At 41.1% G+C, this 23,788-nt stretch overlaps 2 long non-coding RNA genes across 6 annotated transcripts in view; one reads left to right on the forward strand and one right to left on the reverse strand.

The window, feature by feature from the left end:
* The window catches only part of LOC101927182 (uncharacterized), a 204,657-nt gene that overhangs the window by 96,647 nt on the left and 84,222 nt on the right, over positions 1 to 23,788 (forward strand). The gene's annotated exons all lie outside the window — the stretch shown is intronic.
* On the reverse strand, positions 14,047 to 23,633 carry LOC105372622 (uncharacterized). 4 transcript variants are annotated; one of them, XR_001754614.2, is made up of 5 exons: positions 23,550 to 23,633; positions 22,715 to 22,798; positions 17,282 to 17,383; positions 14,928 to 14,978; positions 14,047 to 14,182 (listed from the first exon to the last, which is right to left on the reverse strand). It is a non-coding gene; the product is annotated as an uncharacterized LOC105372622 (long non-coding RNA). The 4 variants fall into 4 exon arrangements; XR_936730.3 differs by having other exon boundaries at positions 14,166 to 14,254; XR_936728.3 differs by lacking the exon at positions 14,047 to 14,182 and having other exon boundaries at positions 14,894 to 14,978.

Raw genomic sequence — 23,788 nt, forward strand, 5'->3', positions numbered from 1 at the left:
TTTTTCAGAATTCTCTTGTATCACATTGAGCTTCTTTAAAATCAATATTTTGAATTCTCTATATGGAATTTTAAATTTCTTTTTGATTAAGATCTATTGCTGGATAATTATTGTGCTCCTATGGAGGTGTCATATTTCCCTGCATTTTTATGTTTTCTGTGTCCTTACAATCGATATCTGCACATCTGGTGTAACAGTCATTTTTTTTTTTTCTATTTTTGATTTACTTTTGTAGGGAGAACTTTTTCCTGAAGCTCTATGTATGGTGTTGAGTGGGTAGGACACATTACTTTGATTCTGGGTGCATACAGTAGTGTAGTCTCTGCACGATTTCTTTGTCTGTAGACAGTGTTAGTGGAATCTGTGATTTCCTCATTGGGTTACATTGTGGTTATTAGTGAAGGTTGTGGTAAAGTTGTGATGGAGACTGAGATGGCAATTGGGTCAGTCTTCAGGCCACAGTCATGGCAGCAGTGAGCTGAGTCTGCCTCTGTGTCCCATGATGGTGTACACTGGCACCTGTGTTGGCAGTTACTGGTGGGCTGATTCTTTGGCCTCCAGGTGGCTTACTTGAATATCAGTAGTGGCAGCAGTGGATCAGATGGGTGAGTGGGTTCCTGGGCCCCTGGGAAGCTGGTGTGGCATGGGCGATGACAATAGCAGTACTGGAGCAATTTTCTGGGGCCCAAGTGGTGTGCATATTGATGTTGGCAGTGCTTGTAAATGGCTAGGTTGAACAGTCTTCAGACCCACATGTTATGCTTGCAGGTAAGTGCCAGCTAAGGTGGTAGTGGCTGGGAGTTTAGTCTCAATTTCAGGCCCATGGAAGGAGTGGTCAGGTGCCCGAGGTGGTGGATTAGGTTGGGCAATCACCTGGACTGTGTGCTCTGTGTCGAGAGGGAGAATGGCATAGTCAGGATGGATGGGCCTGTGCTTGCCACTGGTGAGAGAGGGCACTAGGCACTGTGAGTGAGGGCATGGCAATCCTTTGGCTCCAGGTGGAGTGTTCCAATGAAGGAAGTAGCAGTTGCACTGAGGATATCCCACTGGAGAAGATGGGGCCAGCTTCAGTGGCCACAGTCTGGGCCAGCAGGTGGACAATACATATCCCTGCTTCATCCTAGTTCTGATGGGGCTCGCCCCACATCCCTGGCAGTGTTAGCGTGTGCCTAGCTTGCACTCTAGCCCTGGCTGCAGGAGGCCCTGCCCAGATCGTGACCAAGTCCCAGCAGCAACTCACACTTCACTTGTGTCCCAGTCTCAAGTCCCAGCAGTACTTCCTTCCTGGCACTGGCAAACTGCAGCCTGCACATTGCTCACTTCTCAGCTCGGGCTGTGGGAGTACTCCCAGCTCATGCTGCAGTCTCAGCAGTGACAACCCCATTTTCCTGAGTGCCTCAGTCCCAGTGCTGCTGGGCCCCAGGACAGTGTGCAGAAGCTAAGTTTGAAAATGATGACTTGCTATAGTTTCTTAGGTCTCAGAAGAGTGTGGGACTCAGTGTGAGCTCCCTCGCCCCACAGCAATTCCATCCAATCATCTCCCAGCAGCTTCTTGTGTCAGTTTCAGAGATTGGGAGGGTGGAGGTTCTCTTACGTGACCAGGATTGCATGATTGCATGGTGGGGCTGTGTGTTGCTGGAAGTCTCTCACTCACTCTTCCCCACATTGGGAAGTTACTCCCGGCTCCCAGCCAATCCTGGCCAAGCGGGCTGCCTTGCTTTCTTCTCCTTCCTCACTTTTGGTGTTTTCTGTCACTTCTCTCTTGAATTCCAGTGTTCTGTCTTGGATAATGTATTCAAAGTGTGACTGTGTATACACTATTTTTGTTCCCCTAAGTGGACAAGGAAAGCGTGAAATTCTTCTCATCAGCCATCTTGAAGTCTTTCCTCTGTAAGTTTTAGTATTTCCAATTTAAATTAGAGAATAAAAGGAATGAATTATTAAAGAAGTTCAAAGATAACTCAGATACATTAGAAGGGAAGAAATAGTAAAGATAAAATCAGAAATTAATTATAAAGCAAAAAATAAAATTGATAAGTAAACCCAAGAGCTGGATTTTGAAAATGACAGTATAATAAATCAACTTCTGGCAATTATAAATGAGAAAAAGAGAAAGCTAGCATAAATACTTAAAATTAGGACAGAACTAAAAGGAGTCAGATAGATACTGGGCAGATGATGTAGTCTAAGAAAATATCAAAAACAACTTAATTCTATATATTTGAAATTTTGTTAGAAGCAAATATGAATTACCAGAAATTAACAAAGAATTAGATCAATTCAGATATCTTTATTGAGAAAAACAGCCTAGGAGGAAACCCACTAAATCCTCATAGTGTATAGTAGGATTTATTTTGGATTCAGCCTTACCTTGTTCTATCAGTTACTATGTGACCTTGGCCAGGATACTCACCTCTTTCAGCCTCATTTCCCTCATCTACAAGAAGGGGGAAGAGTTATTTCCCTTACATGGTGTTTTGTGACAATCATATTAAATGATGCACGTGAAATGCTTAGCACAGTGCTGGTCCGTCACTAGTGTACAATACATGATGGCCATTTACATTGAGCAGAAACTGGAATAAGTTATCAAGTACTGTGGGTCCAGATGGATTTATGAATGCATTCTTTCATGCAATTTTCTGCATGTATATGTCATTAAAATATAATTTAAATGTATCCCTTCCAAATTTTAAGGCATAGTTTTCTTCTAGGTGATCCAAACACAGAGAAAATACGATGTTTTTGCATTTGGTACACAATTATAAAGATAGATGCAACAATTCTAAGTAAAATGATGACAAATTAAATCCATTTGTATATTAAAAGAATGAAATGCCATAGCAGAGTAGAGTTTATTTTGGAAATGGTAATTGAACATTTAATGTGTGATAATCCGTATATTAGACACTTCATAAAAACTAGATTAATTAGTGATCACAGAACCTTATGAGTTATCATCATCATCTTATAGCTAAAGAAATGATAGCTGAGTGAGGTCAGACAAGTTGATAAAGGCCAAAGTAAGCACTACAGCTGACATTCCGGTACAGTCTCACTTACTCTAAAGTGTGAAAGTACTTTCCATTATGTCATCCTGAATCTGATTTAATAAACTCCTAAAGTTGCATTTGATAATTCTCAACCCCATCATTGATGAAAATTCTTCAATTACTTAGAGTAGACACATTTTTCTATAATATGTTGAAAAGTATCTGTAGTAAGCACTCAATTTCATGCTTAGTGGTGAAATATCAGGGCCATTCCTAATAATTTCTTTTATCTCTATTTAAAAAATTTATAGATGTTCTGGTCAGTGTAATAAGACATGGTTCAGAAATAAATTTATAATAATGGAAAGAAGAGACATTGTCTTTATTTGCAAGTGATACAATTATCTGTACTGCTTGCCCCAAATGATCAACTAAAATGATAATAAGATAGATATGCAAGATAATCACATATTTAATGAATATTGAAAATAGCTTTTATATATGCTAACAATACCAGTTAGAAGAGATAATGGAAACAACTCAGACCTCAGATTCCCATTAGCAATGCAAGTACAAAATACTAATTTTTTTTTTTTTTTTTTTTTGAGACTGAGTCTAGCTCTGTCGCCAGACTGGAGTGCAGTGGCGCAATCTTGGCTCACTGCAACTTCCGACTCCCTGGTTCAAGCGATTCTCCTGCCTCAGCCTCCCGAGTAGCTGGGATTACAGGCATGTACCCCCACACCCGGCTAATTTTTGTATTTTTAGTAGAGACAGGGTTTCACTATGTTGGCCAGGCTGGTTTCGATCTCCTGACCTTGTGATCCGCCCGCCTTGGCCTCCCAAAGTGCTGGAATTACAGGTGTGAGCACCGTGCCCAGCCAAAATACTAACTTTTTAATAAGAATTGTGCAGTATATACATGGAGAAGATGACAGTGATCAATTGGGAGAAATAAATAAAAACTTGAATAAATCAGGGGGCTGACACACCATTGTACTGGTTAAGGACACTCATATTATAAAGATGTCATTTTTCTTCAAAATTAATTTATAGGTTTGACTTAATTTTATTCTAAATTTTATTCATGAGGGGGTGTCTTAAGATCCAGTGAAGTGATTCTAGACTTCACGTGGATGAATAAAAAAATGTGTAATAGGTTTTTAGAGAATGGGATGGGAGTAAAAACATTCACTCAATGTATTCATTGGTTCTAAGATTTTCAAAAATATGAAATTATATGTGTTAGGATGGAGCGAATATGATAATCAATAAGTTTAAACCTTCATGAATTCTTAAATTAAGACTTCTACTACAGCATATACTTTCCTCCCATAAAATGCAGTAAAATTTAACTGAATAATGCATGTTTTTCTTCAGAGCCTTAATGATTCTATAAATACATGACTAAAGAAATGAATAAAGTAATTGGCTTTTTAAACCACGAAACACAGCTTTTTAGCACTTCATAAGAGTTATTACAAGGGTGAAAAGGAAGAGAAAAATACAAAAGCATGTTGAGATGTAAATGCTGGTAGTTGGCTGGGCTTGGCCACCAGTTAAATGGTCCACCCCATCTTCAATGAGCAGTTGATTAGAAGCCATGCTTTAGGACAACGGAAACTTATTGGGTCCTTGCCAAGTTGGGTTATCTACAAAGCTAAGTCTGAGACAAGAACTCACATGCAAGTGATAAGTTGTAGAAAACCTCTAAGGAGGTGTAGAAACAAGTCAGGGAAGTGGAAAGAGACAAAGATGGCTTTCAACTGAACCTAACTCCCACCTCATTCCACAGGACCCTCATGTTTTCCTTCCTTGAGGGAGGCAGGCTGGACTTTTATAACTCTCTGGCAGTCAGTCATTGACTATGGGACCCCCAAAGAGGCAAAATCTCCCAAGCATCTCAGGAGGGAGCAGCTGTGAGCCATTAGCAGCCATGACTCACAGCAGCTGGGGGATGGGTGATCCAGTCTATAAAATATAAAAGGAGTCTGGGCAGGGCACTAGTGGCATTTATTGCAGTCATGGTCCTTGGGTATGCCTTGTGGATTCATGTCAAGAAAATGAATAATAAAGTGGTACATGCTAAATATATACCATAGATACAGAAAAAGAGCCTAGGAGGAAACCCACGAAAATTTTGACGGTGAGTATTTCTTAATGATGGTGATTTTAATTTTGTTCTTATTCTTTAAAATGTTGTCCATATTCTGAAAAATATGCGCATGACTTAACACCAGAAAATAGAATAGCAACAGATCTGGATAGTACATTTCAGCAGATGGATCAGAGTTAGGATCTGGCTTTGCTAACTTCTAACGTGTGGGTTACTTGGGCTGGTTACCTATCCTGTCTCAGCCTCAGCTTTCTTATCTGTAAAATGGGTTTGACAGATGTGACACATAATGTTAGATATTTTTTGTTTGCCCAGAATCTGTTCCCCCCTTTTCCTGATGTATCATCCCTTGCTTGTTTGGAAAACTGCTCCTGCCTTACTCCACATGCTGCTGCTGTGCTCCAGCTGTTCATTAGAATCACAGTAACCTCCACAGTGGTGAGTGTCTAACCCAGACTCACATATGATCAGAATTTTCTCCAGATTTTTCTAATTTGGAGAGCAAGTTCTCTTTTCCTTGGGTCATGAGTTTTATGACTGTAAGGTAGGACTGTCAGCAGCTATTTTGCATGCTACCTGGAGAATGTCTTTCTGAATTTAGCACAACAAAGAAAGCAGCAGTAGGAGTCCTGGTGGCCAAGCCCCCACTTTATGGCTCTGTTCTGGGTCTTCAAGTCTTTGCCTTTGCAGCCATTTTTCTAGCAAAGATTTTTTTCTTTTTCTTGAGCTGGTTTTAGTTGGGTTTTTGTGAGTTGCAACCAATACAGCACAACTAATACAAAGTCTGTTGCTAGGATTATTGCTACTGTCATTTCTGTCATCTGGAATACCCACTACTCACCTGCCCATCCTGCTCCTCCACCCCTTAGAGATTGTCCTCTCTTTTTCACTCTCATGATTTTAGCTCCTGATTTATTGTATGCCTCAGGTTGTTAGCTCATAAGCATCTCTGAGGTTGCCTGCATAACTTTAACACATAGTAGGTGCCCACAACTGTAAAAATCAGAACTTGAAGGGACCTTGGAAATCATCAAGTTAAAGAGAAATAGAACGAAAGAGGGAAGGAGAGAAATAAATCATCAAGTCTGTAGAGTGGAGATACTGAGGTCCAGGCTCAAGTGGCTTCTTGCCTGTGTCAGAGACATGGCTAGATTCCATGCTCATCTCTTCAGTCCACTGTGCTTGACTTTTTGCCCTGCTTGGACACTGAATACCAAGACAAAATAAAAAAAACATATCAACAGTAGGATTATTTATGTCTCAGTTGAGTTTTAGAGCTGGTTGACAAGAGAAAAGATGCAGAAGAATTTTTCTGTTGCTGCTGTTGTATGTCTATTTTTTACTTTTAGTTTTCTAATTTAAGCCCCAATTTCCTTCCTAATGGTGCAATTAAAATCACTGAAGCTCCAGTGGAAACTGGAACCCATCTCGTTAGACAAGACTGAAAATCAAGGAGAGGCAAAGGAGAGAGTCGCTGAACTGCATGTACCTCTAACGGTGCAAGCAGAACAGCTTCTACCTTTGAATAAAACCCAGAGATGATGTCCTGAGGTGGTGGCAGAGCCTCCTGCTTGCCTTCCTTAGCCTTCAGGAGCTGCTCTCCCAGCCCATAAAACCCAGATCAACTCTAAAATATGCTGTTTTCATGGAGATGGTTTAGTGCTTGAGATTTCTTGCCAGTTCGGAAGCAGGAGGTCCTCAATGGGGACCAAGAGGACATCTGTCCCTACCAGAGTGTTGTGTTCTGAAGACAGCTGAAACCAATGACCTCCAAGCCCTGGAAACTCCATCATCACTTCCCTATGACCTGAAATGTTGACTCAGCACCTCGGCATTAATGATGCCTTATGCTTTATTTCTAAATCATGCTTTATTCTGGCCACAGGAGGGAAACTACAAAACGAAAAGGTATCAACAGACATGTTTAAGCTGCTTGGGATTTGTTGCGGGAAGTAGGAAACTTGTAAAAGGCTTATTTGAATCCTGAGAGGAAACATGTAGTATAAAGAGCACAGGCTTTGGAATCAAAGCAGGGATGCTGGAGGTCCCTCCTGTGTGACCTCAAGCAAGTTACTTAACCTCTCCGAGGCTGTTCTTATTCTATTGCAGTTATTCTATTGTATAGAGCAATAATGTTCCCAGGAGTGGCATGTTCTGCAACTTAACAGTTCTGAAGTGTTGAACTTGACTGCTTTTAGATCCTGTCCAGCATGTTTAGTGGTAGTAAAGACCATGGTGAAAATAATTGTGCTCAGCCGAAATGAGAGAACTGAAGGTTGTATAGATGATCAGGGTTCATCTCTCCACAGGCAGCCTCCCTTCAGCTTTTCTTCTGAAGCCATTGAACAGTCTCCCATACCTTCCCAGCTCCTAGTTCTCCTTTGATGGAAACTATAGCTTTCCTAACATCTGCTTCACCCCTCTCCTTGCTTGTTCTGTGACCTATTAGAATCTGGCTACCAGGCCAGGGGCTAATGCTTGTAATCCCAACAATTTGCAAGGTTGAGATGGGAGGATTGCTTGAGCCTGGGAGTTCAAGGCTGCAGTGAGCTATGATCGCACTACTGCACTCCAGCCTGGGTGACAAAGTGAGATCTCCTGTCTTAAAACAAAAACCAAAACAACAAAAACAAAACAATCTGCCTACCTATCATCTTTAAGGGTTTGCCTGTTTCTTCACCCTTCCCTCTCTCTCCCTTTCTTAATGCCTCCCTGAGGTTCAACTGTACATTTTTAACTTTTAAGAAATATTTCAAACATAATATATATATGTTTGTGTACACACACACACACACACACACACACACACACACACACACACAAATAAGACATCTGGGTACAAGAATCCTGCACATTTTGTTTCAGAACTTGTACATATTTACTTCAGAATGTTTATTTAAAAAGGAAGTAGAACATTGCTGACAAAGTTATCCTGCTCATCCTTTCCCTGCCTGTTCCTACTCAGAGGTCACCAGAACTCTGCAGTTACTTCGTATCATTTCTTCCCCTGAGCCTGTACTTCTATTCATATGTATGAGTTCCTTAACAGTATAAACTACTGTTATTTGTGTTTCAAAAATTTTCCTGTTTATTATCCTACTGTACATATCAATTGCAACTTCCTTTTTTTCCTCACCCAACATTATGTTTTCCAGATTTATCCATTTTGATTCATATGCGCTATTCCTTTTACTTTAAATGTTGTGTGAATAAACCACAGTTTATTCTACTGAGAAATATTTAGGTTGTTCTACTTTTCTCTATTATATAAATTGCAGCAATAAACACTCAATGTATCTTTTTGGTCACAGCTGTGAGAATAGCTTCAGTCTGGACGTCTGGAAGTAGAATTGCTCTGTTGTGAGGCAGATTGTATTAGTCCATTCTCATGCTGCTAATAAAGACCTACCCAAGACTGGGTAATTTATAAAGGAAAGAGGTTTAATTAACTCACAGTTCTGCAGGGCTGGGGAAGCCTCAGGAAACTTACAATCATGGCATAAGGGGAAGCAGACATATCCTTCTTCACATGGTGACAGCAAGGAGAAGTGCAGAGTGAAATAGGGGGAAAGCCCTTATAAAACCATCTGATTTTGTGAGAACTCTCACTATCATGAGAACAGCATAGAAGTAACTGTCCCCCATGATTCACTTATCTTCCACAGGGTCCCTCCCATGACACATGGAGATTATGGGAACTACAGTTCAAGATGAGGTTTGAGTGGGGACACAGCCAAACCATATCATTCCACCCCGGCCCCTCCCAGATCTTATGTCCTCACATTTCAAAACACAATGATGCCTTCCCAACAGTCTCCCAAAATCTTAACTAATTCCAGCATTGACTCAAACGTCAAAGTCCAAAGTCTTATCTGAGACAAGACAGGTCCCTTCCACCTATGAGCCTGTAAAATCAAAAGCAAGTCAGTTACTTCCTAGATACAATGGGGGTACAGGCATTGGGTAAATACACCCATTCCAAATGGGAGAAATTGGCCAAAACAAAGGGATTGCTGGTCCCATGCAAGTCCAAAATCCAATAGGGCAGTCATTTAACCTTAAAGTTACAAAATGATCTCCTTTAATTCCATGTTAAAGGTCCCATCCAAGTCCAAAATCCAGTAGGGCAGTCATTAAACCTTAAAGTTCCAAAATGATCTTGTTTGACTCCATGTCCCCCATCCAGGTCATGACAGTACAAGAGGTGGACTCCCACAGTCTTGGGCAGCTCCGCTCCTGTGGCTTTGCAGGATACAGCCCCACTCCAAGCTGCTTTCATGGGCTGGCATTGAGTGTCTGTGGCTTTTCCAGGCACATGGTGCAAGCTGTTGGTGGATCTGCTGGCATCTGGAGGGTGGTGGCCTTCTCACAGCTCCACTAGGCAGTGCCCCAGTGGGGACTCAATGTGGGGGCTCCAACCCCACATTTCTCTTCGGCACTGCCCTAGCAGAGGTTCTCCACGGGGGCTCCACCCCTGGAGCAGACTTCTACCTGGACATCCAGGCAATTCCATACATCCTCTGAAATCTAGGCAGAGATTCCCAAACCTCAATTCTTGACTTGTGTGCATCCACAGGCGCAGCACCACGTGGAAGCTGCCAAAGCTTGGGGCTTGCACCCTCTGGAGCTACTGTCTGAGCTGTACCTTGGGAATGGCTGGAATGCAGGGTACCAAGTCCTGGGGCTGCACACAGCAGGGGGGCCCTGGACCAGGCCCAGGAAATCATTTTTCCCTCCTAGGCCTCTGGTCCTGTGATTGGAGGGGCTGCCATGTTCTCTGACATGTCCTGGAGAAATTTTCCCCATTGTCTTGGTGATTAGCATGTGGCTCCTCGTTACTTATGCAAATTTCTGCTGCCAGTGAATTTATCCCCAGAAAATAATGGGTTTTTCTTTTCTACTGCATCATCAGGATGCAAACTTTTCAAACTTTTATGCTCTGCTTCCTCTTGAATGCTTTACTACTTAGAAATTTCTTCTGCCAGATACCCTAAATCATCTCCCTCAAGTTCAAAGTTCCACAGATCTCTAGGCCAGGGGCAAAATACTGCCAGTCTCTTTGCATAGCAAGAGTGACCTTTACTCCAGTTCCCAACAAGTCCCTTATCTCTATCTGAGACCACCTCAGCCTGGACTTTATTGCCATTATCACTGTCAGCATTTTGGTCAAAGCCATTCAACAAGTCTCTAGGAAATTCCAAACTTTCCCACATCTTCCTGTCTTCTGAGCCCTCCAAGTCTCTAGGAAGTTCCAAACTTTCTGACATTTTCCTGTCTTCTTCTGAGCCTTTTAAACTGTTTCAACCTCTGCTTGTTACCCAGTTCCAAATCACTTCCACATTTTTGGGTATCTTTACAGCAGCACCCCACTGCTTGGTACCAATATACTGTATTAGTCTTTTCTTACACTGGTGTTATCTATCTGTATTTTTCTTATTGATTCTGGATTCTACTTATCAGTTATACACATTGCAAATATATTCTCCCAGGCTTTTAACTTTGTTCATAGTTTCTGCTTTGCATCTTGTTTTCTAATTTTTTTTTGGTGGCATTTTTCTTTTTATCTTTTTTGTAATGATTCTTTTTCTTAATGATTTTTATCTTAAGAATGATTTAATCTGATATTCATAGAGCCATACTGGCTCTCTTTTCTTTTGCAATTGTTGGAAGTATCTTTTTCTATGCCTTTATTTTCAACCTTTCTGTGACCTTGTGTTTTGGGAATATCAGTTATACGTATCATATAACTAGGTTAATTTTAAAATTCAGTTTGAGTCTTTGAGCTGTTCTATTTTGCCTAAGAACACTTATTGTCCTTACTGACATATTTGTGTTTATTATTTTGGGTCCTTCGATTTACTGTGCTGCTTTGCTTTCTTGCTTCCTCCCTTCCCTCAGTTTACTACAACATATTGTCTTTCTTTTTTTCTACTTTTACTAAGTATCCTGAATTTTTCCCTTTTTTGGGGTTACCCTTAAAATTTCAATATTTATTATTGATATTAAGACTAAAAGTAATCCGTTTTTCTTTATGACACAAAGTCTCAGAAATGCTTTACTCTAATCATCCTTTAATCTTGCAAATAATTATTGTTTAGAATATTAGTTTCACTTTTCAATGCCCTCAAATTCATCCTCTCCATCATCATCATTACTATGGTTACTTTTAATCATTGTTTCGTTTTGCCCATGTGTTTACCAATTTCTGTCTCACTCTTGCTTCTTGAATTTCCCTTCTATATTTTGCTATAATTTTTTCCCTCGGATTGCACCTTTTGTTAGTTCCTTCGGTAGAACATCCCACTCATGGGCATTGAAATCTGATTCTAAAGTGTCTAGGACCCATGCCATAGACCCTCTCCTTCCTGGTCAGCTTGGTACCGTCTCTCTTGCCACCTAGTTTGTAGCTCAGTCTTCAGTTCTGACATCTGAAGAGTCTCTCCTTTCTTTCTTTTAAGCTCAACTATTTATTTTAAATATTTATTTGCCTCTTTTATTTGTGGGGAGAGAGGTGTTTAATGGACTCAGCAGGACAGCTCTAGGGACATCAGACATAATTTTAGAGTTTTTTATCAGAAGAAACAGGAAATACAAATATGTATAGAATGATAACTCCATTTCAGGTTTATAGAATATATCAGAGCCTTCCTCCCAATACTTATATCACTATAAAATGTAAACTACAAATTACCAAATTTTTAATTCTTATTTTTTTGACTGGTTGTGAATTTATATATTGATTTATTCAATTTATTTTATGTTATTCAAATTACAGAACACATGCTGGCTGTGTAAAGGAAAAGCTAATTATTCCCTGCATTCTCCAAGCTTCTGCATCCCCCGCCCCACCAAGATAACCAGTGTTGCCAGCCTGCTGAACATTTCTTCTTGCAGTTCTCCCTGTGAGAGAAGGTATACAAATGCATCTCCACAAATGCAGTAGTGTGTTTGTTTCTTTAGCCAAACAGAATATGTGACTTGCTTTATTCAGTTAAGAGTATTTTATTATCCAGTATTCCTAAGAATTGTTAGCTTGACAACTGTCAGATGATCTTCCTCCATCATTTTGCAGAACCCAAGTCACCCATTTTCTTTCCATCCTTATGGATTCTGATCTTGAACTAACTCTCCCATGTCTAACTTTTCCCTTTGGACTTGAACCTTATCCTTGTGTTCTGGGGTAGTCCTTTATGCATGATCCACCAAAACTTGAGTTCAAAAGTCCACCCATACAAACACAGGTTGAGAACTGAATTAGCAATAACTCTCATGGAAAAAAATCGAGGCTGGTCACAGTAGGGTCAATGCAAATCCACAGTGTCACTAGGCTGCAAGATGATACTAGGCTGAGAAAACATAATTTTGAAACCATGAAAGTCTAGCTCAACTGTCTGATTGCTGTGGCTGAAGACAGACCTAGGATCTATTGGTCCAAGAATCAGTCTAGGACAATGATGCTTCACTTTGGCTGAACATCCAAATCATTTACAAAACTTTAAAAAATACAGATTTCTAGGCCCAATCCTTATATATTTTGACAATTTGTCTGGATTTGGGGCCCAGGTATTGTCATGAATTGATTCTAATGCTTAGCCCATGTTGAGATAGGATAAAACCCAGGATAGCATGCTGACTCACCATCAGAGGTAGTCTCTTTGGGACCATGTGTTCTCAAACTAATCATTGGAGATATCTAGATTTAGCTATGGTATAGTGAAAAGGGCTTTTGATGTGGAATTAGCAGATTTGGTATCTAGCCACAGTTTGCCACTTACTTACTGTGTGACCTTGAACAAATCGTTTTCCTCTCTGAATCTGTTTTCTCATCTGTAAACATGGAGATTTATGATCTGTGTTTCACACAGTGGTTGTTAGGATCAAAAGACAAAATGTTCTTGCAACTATTTTTTTGTAAGTTGTAGGGCTCTTTAGAAATGTTGAATAAGAGGTCTTTTCTAGGTCTAAGGCTTGTTGGTTCTCTAAATAGCGATTGACCTTTTCTATCATGTAGGCCTGTGAATCCAGTGGAAAAAATGTGAAATATTATTCTGAGTGTTTTGATTTTCTGAAATGCTTCCTTCAAAAACTCTCCAAGGCCAGTAATTTAGGCCAGATTTAGCAGAGTAACTGAAATAATGAAAGTAATTATCCAGGTCATTCTGGTCCCTGGATTATTTTCCCTGAGAAATATCCAAATAATTTAATGCAAGAGAAATTCTGAATTAAAACTGTCTACATTGTTGATGTAGTTCCCTTCTTGCTTCTAATATAAGTGAGGAGTTTCTAAAAGAGAATTTAGGCCTTTGAATGAGGGTCTATATGAAAGGGTACAAATGCTATGAGTAAACTTGCCTTTTCAAGTGGTTTAGTCTCATAGTCAAACTATTTAAATATTATGAAAGAGAGTAAAAAACCCATGAAAATTTAAATATCATTCTGAGAATGCTTTATTTTGCAGTACCATATAATTTCAATACGCCAAATACATTTTAGAGTAACAATTATATTCTTCACTCAGGCGTAAGATCACCTGAGTTTGTGGATGTTTCTCAAGAAGTTGTTGTCGTAGCATTTGGACAATGTGATTAGACAACACCCGGGGAGTTGGTCATTTCCAAACTGGAAGTTGTCCAGCATTATTAGGAACCTCTTGACTGGAAGAAAATTATCGAACATTAGTTTGGTACTTTCTCTGTTCTTTTTTTTTTTTTTTTTGAGATGGAGTCTCGCTGTCTTGCCCAGGCTGGAGTGCAGTGGCACAATCTTGGTTCACTGCAAGCTCTGCCTCCCGGGTTCATGCCATTCTCCTGCGTCAGCCTCTCAAGTAGCTGGGACTACAGGTGCCCGCCACCATGCCCGGCTAATATATATATATTTTTTATTTTTAGTAGAGACGGGGTTTCACCGTGTTAGCCAGGATGATCTCGATCTCCTGACCTCGTGATCCGTCCGCCTTGGCCTCCCAAAGTGCTGGGATTACAGGTGTGAGCCACTGCTCCCAGCATTCTCTGTTCTTTTAAAAGTAATTTCATCGTTGGTCCTCTTTAGCCATGTAAATTTCTTCCGCTATTCCCTTAAAAAATAAAAATAGTAGAAATAGTGTGTTTCTCTTCTTCTACAAACTGAATCACAGTTGTAAGTTGTCCTGTGAAGATAAATGGACAAAACTATCATTTCATCCTTGTCTTAAAAGACAATCAGGTGTACAACATAAAGGAATCAGTCTCCTCCCTCTTGCCATTGTCAACATGGTGTCTCTGAATGAAAGAGTGGCTTCCAAGGAGACAGTTTTGGCCAGTGAGTTTGTGCATGGCCCTCTTCTTTCCTTAGATGATCTCGAAGGTCATGAAAGACCTGTAGCTCTTTCCTCTTTTTATCATCCAGAAAACATCAGAACGAGGTTTCTTCTTTCCACCTCTATTTGTGTATGTGTGATCAGCCAGGAAGAAAATGAGCATTCTTTGAGCTACTACCTGCATTGCGTTGGGAGTTTGCATAGACAATATTAATCTTCACAAACCTTCTGTAAGGTAGATGTTGTCATGCCCATTTTAATGATGAGGGAGCTGAAGTTTAGAGACATTGCATAACTTGGCTAAAGCCATGGGCTGATAACCAGATGAGTGGGTATGTATGACTCTAGGGCCAGCGTTTTGCCCCTTAGGTCAAGGGGAAAAGTCAAGGAGTGTATATTTTCTGAGCCAAAATTCAGATGCTAGAGTTGCATTTGGCATAAAGGGTATGAGATATTTGTAATTGGGGCTTTCATAGCAAAGTAGGAAGTTGATGAGGTGTGTTTCAGTGCTGGCTTAACTTACTATTCTTTGTCTTTCTCAGCTCAGGTTGACTGGGTCTAAGATGAGTCTCACCTGTAAGCACAGAGCAAATTTGATTGCAAAGATGAATGTTAGTGGGAACATCTGAGTAGCAATGAGGCATGCATGCTATGACCTGTTTTACCTGGAGACTGTGATTATTATCAACACAAATCTGATATCATGTTGATTACTTCATTCATTCACTTAACATTTACCAAGGATCTACCATAAATCAGATAATGTTGAAGATTCTGGAGAGAGAGTGATGAACAAGACAGAAATCTTTACATTTATTGAGTACAAGACAGATGATATGAGGATAAATAGATAATACCCATCCTCAAAGGTTTTACAATCAAGTTGAAAAATCAAACATATTTTCAGTTCACTTGATTAGTAGGTAATGAAACTAAGTGCTAGAGGCACAAGTAAATAGCTAATGGAGCACAGAATAGGATGGTGAAAGGCCATAGTTAAGTTTTACAGTACAGGTTCAGGAAATGTGTTGGGGCTAGCATATTTTAACTATGCCTTAAATCATGGGAATGGAGAAAAGAGAAGTGTTCAGGACTCCACCACAGAATCTTGGACACCTCTAAGAGTAGTTTGAAGTATAATCCTAATATATCCCAGGGTTCCAAATGGACCAGTCGCCCACGGTGTTACATTCCCAGGAACAGTCTAGGAAGCAAAAATTGATTATGAATATTTCAAGCCAATTCCTCAAGGAAAAGAGCACGAGGAGCACAGGCAGGTTTCTATGGGCAACATAAGAAGGTGGCTCATATTCCACTGGCTGGAACTCAGTCATGTGGTGTTCTAGGTGGGGTTCTTCAGAAGCAGGCCTTGAGATGAGGATTAGTACATGGGAATTGCTCCCAGGAGAAGCCAGCAAAGCAGCAGAACTGGGAAGTGGAAGAGGGCAAGCATGGTGTAATTTCAGGCAAAGTCCCAGAGCTGGCTTGATTCTGTGGGGAGTTCTGGGAGATGAATTAGGTCCCACCTCAAGGCAAGGGGTCTGGGCTTTCATATTCTGGTTAAGGGCTGCCCCAGGGCAGGGGGGTACAGATGCCCAGACATGTCTGGCTCTCTGAAAGTACAAGGCTCCATTAGCCAAGGGCAGGCTTCAAAGTCACAGGTACCGCCGGGCGTGGTAGCTCACGCCCGTATTCTCAGCACTTTGGGAGGTCGAGGCGGGTGGATCACTTGAGGTCTGGAGTTCAAGACCAGCCTGGTCAACATGGTGAAACCCCGCCTCTACTAAAAAAAAACAAAAAATTAGCCAGGTGTGGTGGTGCGTGCCTGTAATCCCAGCTACTTGGGAGGCTGAGAAAGGAGAATCGCTTGAACCCAGAGGCAGAGGTTGCAGTGAGCCAAGATTGTGCCATTGCACTCCAGCCTGGGTGACAGCACGAGACATTGTCTCAAAAAAAAAAAAAAAAAAAAAAAAAGGCACAGTTGCAAACCCTTGGAATCAGAGCACTCCAAAACAGGAGGATAGGCAGACAGAAATTGAATCTAGGGAGACCGAGCAAAGCACAGATAGTGTCCACTCCATGTGGCTACATGGAATTACAAGGGAGGCTGGCAAATGTAATCTAGCAGTAGCCTCAGGAAGAAGAGAAAAATGTGGATCTTGGTAAAATACAGCAGTGCCTTCCTCACCTTTGTTTGTACCTGATACTCAGCCCAAATCTCTTTCTTTTTCTCTGAATACAGTAAACACAGCACAGATGACTATTTCATCACACTTCCATGGGTGTGCATGGGTGTGGGGGACAGGGGTGATATGGGAGTAGGAAGGGTGGATGCCTCCATATATTCTGAGTAAAATAAAAATTGTACGACTTAGCTCCTGTCTATAGTGATATAAACTTCAAAAAGCATTACCATCACTTAACGTCTTTCTTTTGTTCTGCCATGGGAATCCCCCTACCTGCTAACATAATGACCTTGGAGAACTTTCTGGGCCTGGGAGTGTGGGTCCCTGGGAAGGGCTCTGGCTCCCATAGCCAATGACACAAAGCCTGAGCTCCTTGTTCTGGTTCCTGCTGACCTCCTTGGCCTCATCTCCCACCAGCCTCCTCTCCCTCTGAACATCCAGCCATTCCTGAGCACATCTGACTGCTCCCGTTTCAAGGACCTCCTTTTTTCTACCTGGAAAGCCCACTGTCTTCCTTGTTGGCCTGTTGAACTTCTCTTCTCTTAAAGCCCAGCTCAGAAGTCACCTCCAAACACACTTTCCCAAGCTTGCATGGATAACCTCTCTTTATTTTAGCAATAAAAATAATAAAATAGTTACTATTTAGTAAACATATACTCCGTACCTTATAAACATTATCTTTCACACTAACCTGGAAAAGGAAATGCTGTTATTTGTGTTTCACAGGTGGTGGAGAGGTTGGGCAGTCAAATTGGATGGCAGTACTCTGCTCAAGAGTGGCAGGCTAAAAAATCTAGAATATGATTGTATTTATTTTTTAGGGTATCATCAAAATGAAAATATACAAACATGCATATATGTACAAGCATACAAATAATACATATGCATCTATCTATCTATCTATCTATCTATCTATCTATCTATCTATCTATCTGTCTATCTATCTCTTCCTTTTTTCCTATCTACGTACCTACTTGAGAATTTGAGAATCCCCTTCTGATTGAGAAATAACATTCCTGGCACATCGCCTTCCTCTGTCTTCTGTCAAGCCCACCATGTCTCTGTATCTGTCTTTCATTGTCTTTGTGTGTCTCTCTCTCTGCTCCTTCTCTTGCTCCTCTACCCTATCCTTTCCTCTTCCCTTCCTTTGTGGCCCCAAAGCCTGCATGCTTCTTGTTCTGCAGTGCCTGTTCAAACTCCTAGCAAGGTTCAAACTCCTAGCAAGGTTCAAACTCCTAGCAAGGCAGGATGTGCCATGTGACCCTAGTTTTTGCAGATAAATAGCTTATTTAAATCGGAAACCAGACTCTAATCCCTTCTGTGGGCTGGGTTGATGGATGGACGCAATTACAGTCAGTTTTCTTCCATTAGGGCCCTGCTGGCCCCAGGTACTGGCAGCTCTCTATGGGACTGGTTAGTTATGGTTGGAATAGCAATGGTAAAGGCCCAAAGTGGTGGGGCTTGGCAGCAGACCTCAGAGACTGAGCACTGAGACTTGGCAGTTGCCAGGGTTCAATACATTCCTGTTGGAGCTTGTTTGGCTTGGTCCCTTACCCTGGGGCCTTGCACCTGCAGAGTTGTGCACTGTTTAGGGGCTTCCTGCCTATGTGAGGGTGCCCACAGGCTTTGAGTGCCTTTCTAATGGCCAGGAGTTTGAGCTCTGGAGTCAGACTGCGTGGATTCAGCTCTTGGGCCTCTACCAGGAGACTTCCCAGGTGACTTTGGGCAAAGAATTCCTCTCTGTGTTTCAGTTTCCTCATCTATAAAATGGGGACAAAAGTAAGACCTACCTCATAAGGTTGTTGTGAGTGTCAAATGATATAATTAAGGAAAAGTACTTAGCAGGGTCCCTGGCACATAGTAAGAACTCAAGAAATGCTAATTATGATCATGAGTGTCAGGTGTATTGCCTTCTTCAGCCCTCACAATCAGCCTGTAAGGTAGAAATTAAGTCCATTTTACAGTGGATGAAACAGAGGCTCAAACATATGAAATTACACAGGTGGAGGGTCAGGGAGCCAGGACTGGAGTTGAAGTATGTAAACCCTAAGCTCAATGCACCTTCTGCTGCCCTCTACTGGGTGCCTTCTGGCCACCCTACTCTTTGCCTCATGATGATGTCAGAATTGAGGCACAACAGAATTGATGTCACAGTCTTCTTTGTCCATGAACTTTTTGTTTCTGCCCACTGAATACAGGGTCTTAAATCCCACAGTTTTTTTGGAGTAGATTAGGCATGTTCAGGTACATAGTCCCAAAGAGGATGATGCTGTCATAGGACAGCCTGGCCTGGCACTTGGGGCCCTTGACTTCTCATTCTGGTTCTGCTACTAATGTTTTATGTAACCTTCAGAAACCCTTCCCCTCTCTGAGACTCAGTTTCCCTATATGGAAAATTGCCTTACCAATTCCCCTTCTAGGTATCTGTTAATTCTGTAGAAACACTCAAGCTCTGGGGGCACAGATGCATGTGCTAGGAGTGTTCAATGCAACACTGCTCATAATAGTCAAATATTGGAAACAATAATTATCCACCAAACTATTGTAGCAAATAAAGACAATGAAGGGCAACTCTATGTACTGGCATGCAAATATGAGAAAACATGGAGAGATATATTGTTGAATACCAAGAGCAAGTGACAGGACTGTATATCCAGCGTGAGTCTATTTATCTAAATAAAATTATCCCTGAACTCTACATATGTATAGGAATATATAGGCACATGCATTAAAAAAACTGTGAAAGAGACACAACAGACTATTAATGTTACTTCTGGGGAGAAGAAAGGGATGGAAGTGGTGGTGGTTAATGGGGGGGGACTTTGACTTTCACTTTTTATTTTATATATCTGGGTATAACTTTAATTTTTTCTTTTTTGAGGTGGAGTCTCTCTGTGTCTCCCAGGCTGGAGTGCAGTGGTGCAATCTCAGCTCACTGCAGCCTCCACCTCCCGGGTTCAAACGATTCTCCTGCCTCAGCCTCCAAAGTAGCTGGGTTTACAGGCATGCACCACCACACTCAGCTAATTTTTGTATTTTTTTTTTTAGTAGAGACAGGGTTTCACCACATCGGCCAGGCTGGTCTCGAACTCCTGACCTTAGGTGATCTGCCTGCCTCAGCCTCCCAGAGTGCTGGGATTACAGGCGTAAGCCACCACACCTGGCCGTAATGTTAATTTTTATGCTATTGCATTAATATATTGCTTGTTCAGTTTTTTTTTTTTTTTAAGTAGCAAATTGAAGGGACAGGACCGAAGGATTGCTTCAGCTTTGATGACAGCCTAGATGGTCGTGGTCCTGTGTACACCTTCATCTTATTTCTCCTCACCCAGGGTCAGGAAGGGTCTCTGGGCAGTAAGGAGGATTCCAGGCCTCTGCTACTCATGACCATCTTTTCAGGGAGCCAGGCTGTCCTTGACTGGCTGCTTCAGGGCTTGGGGGATGAGTCAGAGGGACACAAAAGAACAAGGGGATTTCTCTCCAGTTTTCTTGACTTGGCCCTTTGAATCTGGTAGATCAGGAACTGGTCTGGTCAGTTGAGCCCTAGTGGCCACGCAGGACACAGTTTGAAGTGTCAGACCAAATTTATTTATCTTCCCTAGTCTCCCGCAGTTTCTTCTGCTTACATTTCACAGAGGACTGTAAGAGCATGAGCTCCAGGAAAAAAGTACCTAAAGAGAAGCTCAGAGGAGAGTGCAGCTCTATTAACCAGTGTTTCTGACGATCTAAGACTGTTGGATTGCAGAAAAATCAATTGATTTCTCTTTTGTTTCACTTCAGTCTCTTCTTCACCTAAGAAATGATTTTGTTCAAGTTGTTTTCAATATCAGTATCATTGAGCCTAAAAAGGCCTCAATGGCTCATTGACTTGGTCTTCCAGGGAGGTACTCAAATATGAGGCACAATAATTTTCTAATAACACCCCAAATTAGTAAAAAGGGGAAACTGTAGCACTATATTTTGTTTCATCCAGTTCTCAGAGTATGTTTACATTGGTCCTGAAAATAATTTTCCTTCTTGTAGGATGTCCTGCTGTGTAAAAGTTCTTTAAGGAACACATGGGTAGAAAAACTGAGACTGATGACTACCTGGCAATCGATTTGTTAAAGGAAAGGAGGAAAGAGGTGAAAGCATCTCAAAAGCCATGGCCAGGTGTAAATTCGTATTTGAATTTATTTCATAAGTTTCCAAGCCTCTCTCCCCAAGCCTATTGTTTTCCTCTCCTTCTTTCTTAACAGCATTCTTCTTGTGATGGTTAATTTTATGTCAACTTGATTGGGCTAAGAGATGCCCAGATTGCTGGTAAAGCGTTGTGCCTGGGTGTGTCTGTGAGGGTGTTTCTAAAGAGATTAGCATTTGAAGCAGTGGACTCAGTAAAGATGATCCACCCTCACCAATATGGGTGGGCATCCTCAAATCTGTTGAGGGCCTGAATAGAACAAAAAGGCAGAGAAGGGGATAATTTGCTCTCTCTGCTTGAACTGGGACATCCATCATCTCCTGCCCTTGGACAGCCAGTCCTCCTGGTTCTTAGGCCTTTGGGCTCAGACTGAATTTCACCCCCAGCTTTCCTGGGTCTCCAGTTTGTAAATGGCAAATCATGGGAGCTTTTGGCCCCCATAATCAGGTGAGTAAATTCTCGTAATAAGTCTCCTTGTACGTACTTCTGTCTCTCATATATGTATGTGTGTGTGTGTATATATATGTGTGTGTGTGTGCGTAGGTATGTATGTATATGTATGTATGTTGATATTGGTTCTGTTTCTCTGGCAAACCCTAACACACCTGCCTTGTGTAACTCTCCCACCTTTTCTTTTGCATTTGTCTCTCTTCCCTTCTCTTTGGGTCTCTTCTTTACCAACCAGATTCAGCCTGTTTTTCTATTACTTCTCTCCTCTCTCTCAGCCTCTTCCCTTTCTTTGACCTGCATAATTTTCTGTCCTTTCCTTTCCTCTAACTGAATTTGTCATAATTTGAAAATTAAATACATTTATATCCTTGCTATATTTTTTACCAGTGTATGTTATGTTTTCTGTTTTTAATTTAAAGGCAGAAGAAATGGAGAGTTTATATTTCATCCTCTTAGAGTTACAGAGAAAATTACAACCCAACCAATATCGGCCCTAAACTAAGATGCTTTCTCTATGGGACTCTTGATGGATCTTTTTTGAAGGGGTGAAGGAATCAGGAAACGTTGATAAAAGGAAGTTCCTATAACCTTTGGGAATGTTACAGTTTTAATTCTGATTCTCACTTTAGATTTTGATTCATTTAACAATTATATTACTGGCATTGCAGAAATATAAGTAAGAGGGAATGTACTGACAAATTTGGGTCTTCCTTCTTTAGCAACCCCATAACTGGTTCTATTTTATTTTCAGAATATTTCAGGGAGAACACAAAGACAGAACCAGATCTGTAGCTGGGAAATCTAAGTGTGAACCCTCTATCAGCCCTACTGGTTCTGTGACTCTGATAAGTCAACCTCTTTGAGGCTCAATTTCCTCATATGTAGAATGAAATCAATAAAGCTACTTTGCAGGCTTGTGAGGATTAAATAAGAAAAGTTATGTGAAAATATGTGATTAATCCTAGGGGCTGAATAAATGTTAGTTCATTGTCTTTCTTTCTAGGCTCTTCTGAGACTGATTTCCTCTGGATGTGTATGACTGTATGGGGTTCTGGGGACTTGTGGAATCATCCTTGAGAAGGGGTCAGGATAAATATAAGAGACTAATGAAACAGATCATCTTGCAAAACTCAGTTTTTATGTCACTTCCTTCAGGAAGGCTTCCTTGACTTCTCACCTCCCAAGATGAGTTGGCTGGATTCTTTTTGCACCAGCAGCACTCTGTCCTTAGTCTGACTCACTTTTCTATGCCTGTCACAGGACTGTGCCATCCTTATGCATGGATGATGTCTTATTTATTCCTGGATCCCCAGTGCAGAGCAGAGTCTACTGAAAGCCCACAGAAAATATGGAGTAACCCTTCATTAAGCTTTGAATACTTTACATCTTTACATGACCTGTCTCACTTCGACTGCATAACTGTATGAGGTCACCAATTATTACACTTATTTTATAAACAAGGAGACTGAGTCTCACAGGGGCTTAGTAACTTACCCAAGATCACACATCTGGCAATTGGCAGAGATCATCTTTGAACCCAGACAATCTACTTTCAGACCTCCTGTGCGTTGCCACTATCTAATGCAGCAGAAAAATGAAGGAATGAATAAATAAAGAATAAACAAATGAGCCTTGTGGTGTTGAAGGAGCCACTCAGGGCTTAGTGATATAATTAACTTCATTTTGAACTTGGTCATAGTGAAGATATAGCAGCCTTAGAAACCAAATTCTTGACACTTTCCTCCTCTCTAATAAGAGTTTTGAATAGCCTGAAATCCCTTACCTGTCTTGATAAATACAAATACAAAGACATAAATAATGCATTAGTTTCTTTCCCTTGCAGTTGAGGCTTTGCAGCCATAATTCTGCCCTACAGCCAGCAGACTTGGAGGGTGGGGCAGGGGAGAAAGGTGAAGTAGCGTCTTAAACAGTCTAAAATAAATTCCCTAGGATAATTACCAAACAGAGTTAATTCCATAAATTTGATTTAATTGGCAGCAGGCAAATGAAATAGGGAAGAAAAACATTCTTTTTTTTTTTTTCCAAGTCATTGGTGGTATCTCTGAAGCAGAAGTTGGGAAATCAGGATAATGTAGAAACCAGCAGCAGCCCCCATAAAAACTTCACATTCAGGAGAGAGGAAGAAAGAGACTCCATTACTGGGCTTCTCATCTGACTCTGTACTCAAAGCTTATACACATGATCCAACATAATTTGTGTGACCAACTTGAGAGGTAGATATTATTGGCTATGGAATCCATTAGCTATTGCCATGTAGCAGACAACCTCACAACTCAGTGTTTTAAAACAATGGTTTTTTATGACTCACATGTTTCTGGATTGGCTGGAGCTTGACTTGTTGAAGCCTAATTTTTAATTGGAATAGCTTTGCTTCTCACTGCAAGTCTGTGAGATGGCTGGTATGGTCTGGTCTCTCTTCTTCTGTTCTGTCAGCCAGGATATTTTCATCCTGTGTTGATGGCACTTCTGTTCATATATCATTGGCCAAACAAGTCACATGGCCAATAAAAAGGGCAGGGAACTTTACTCTTGATGAGGCCATGGTGA

This window comes from Homo sapiens, chromosome 20, assembly GCF_000001405.40.
Source record: "Homo sapiens chromosome 20, GRCh38.p14 Primary Assembly".
Lineage (NCBI taxonomy): Eukaryota > Metazoa > Chordata > Mammalia > Primates > Hominidae > Homo > Homo sapiens.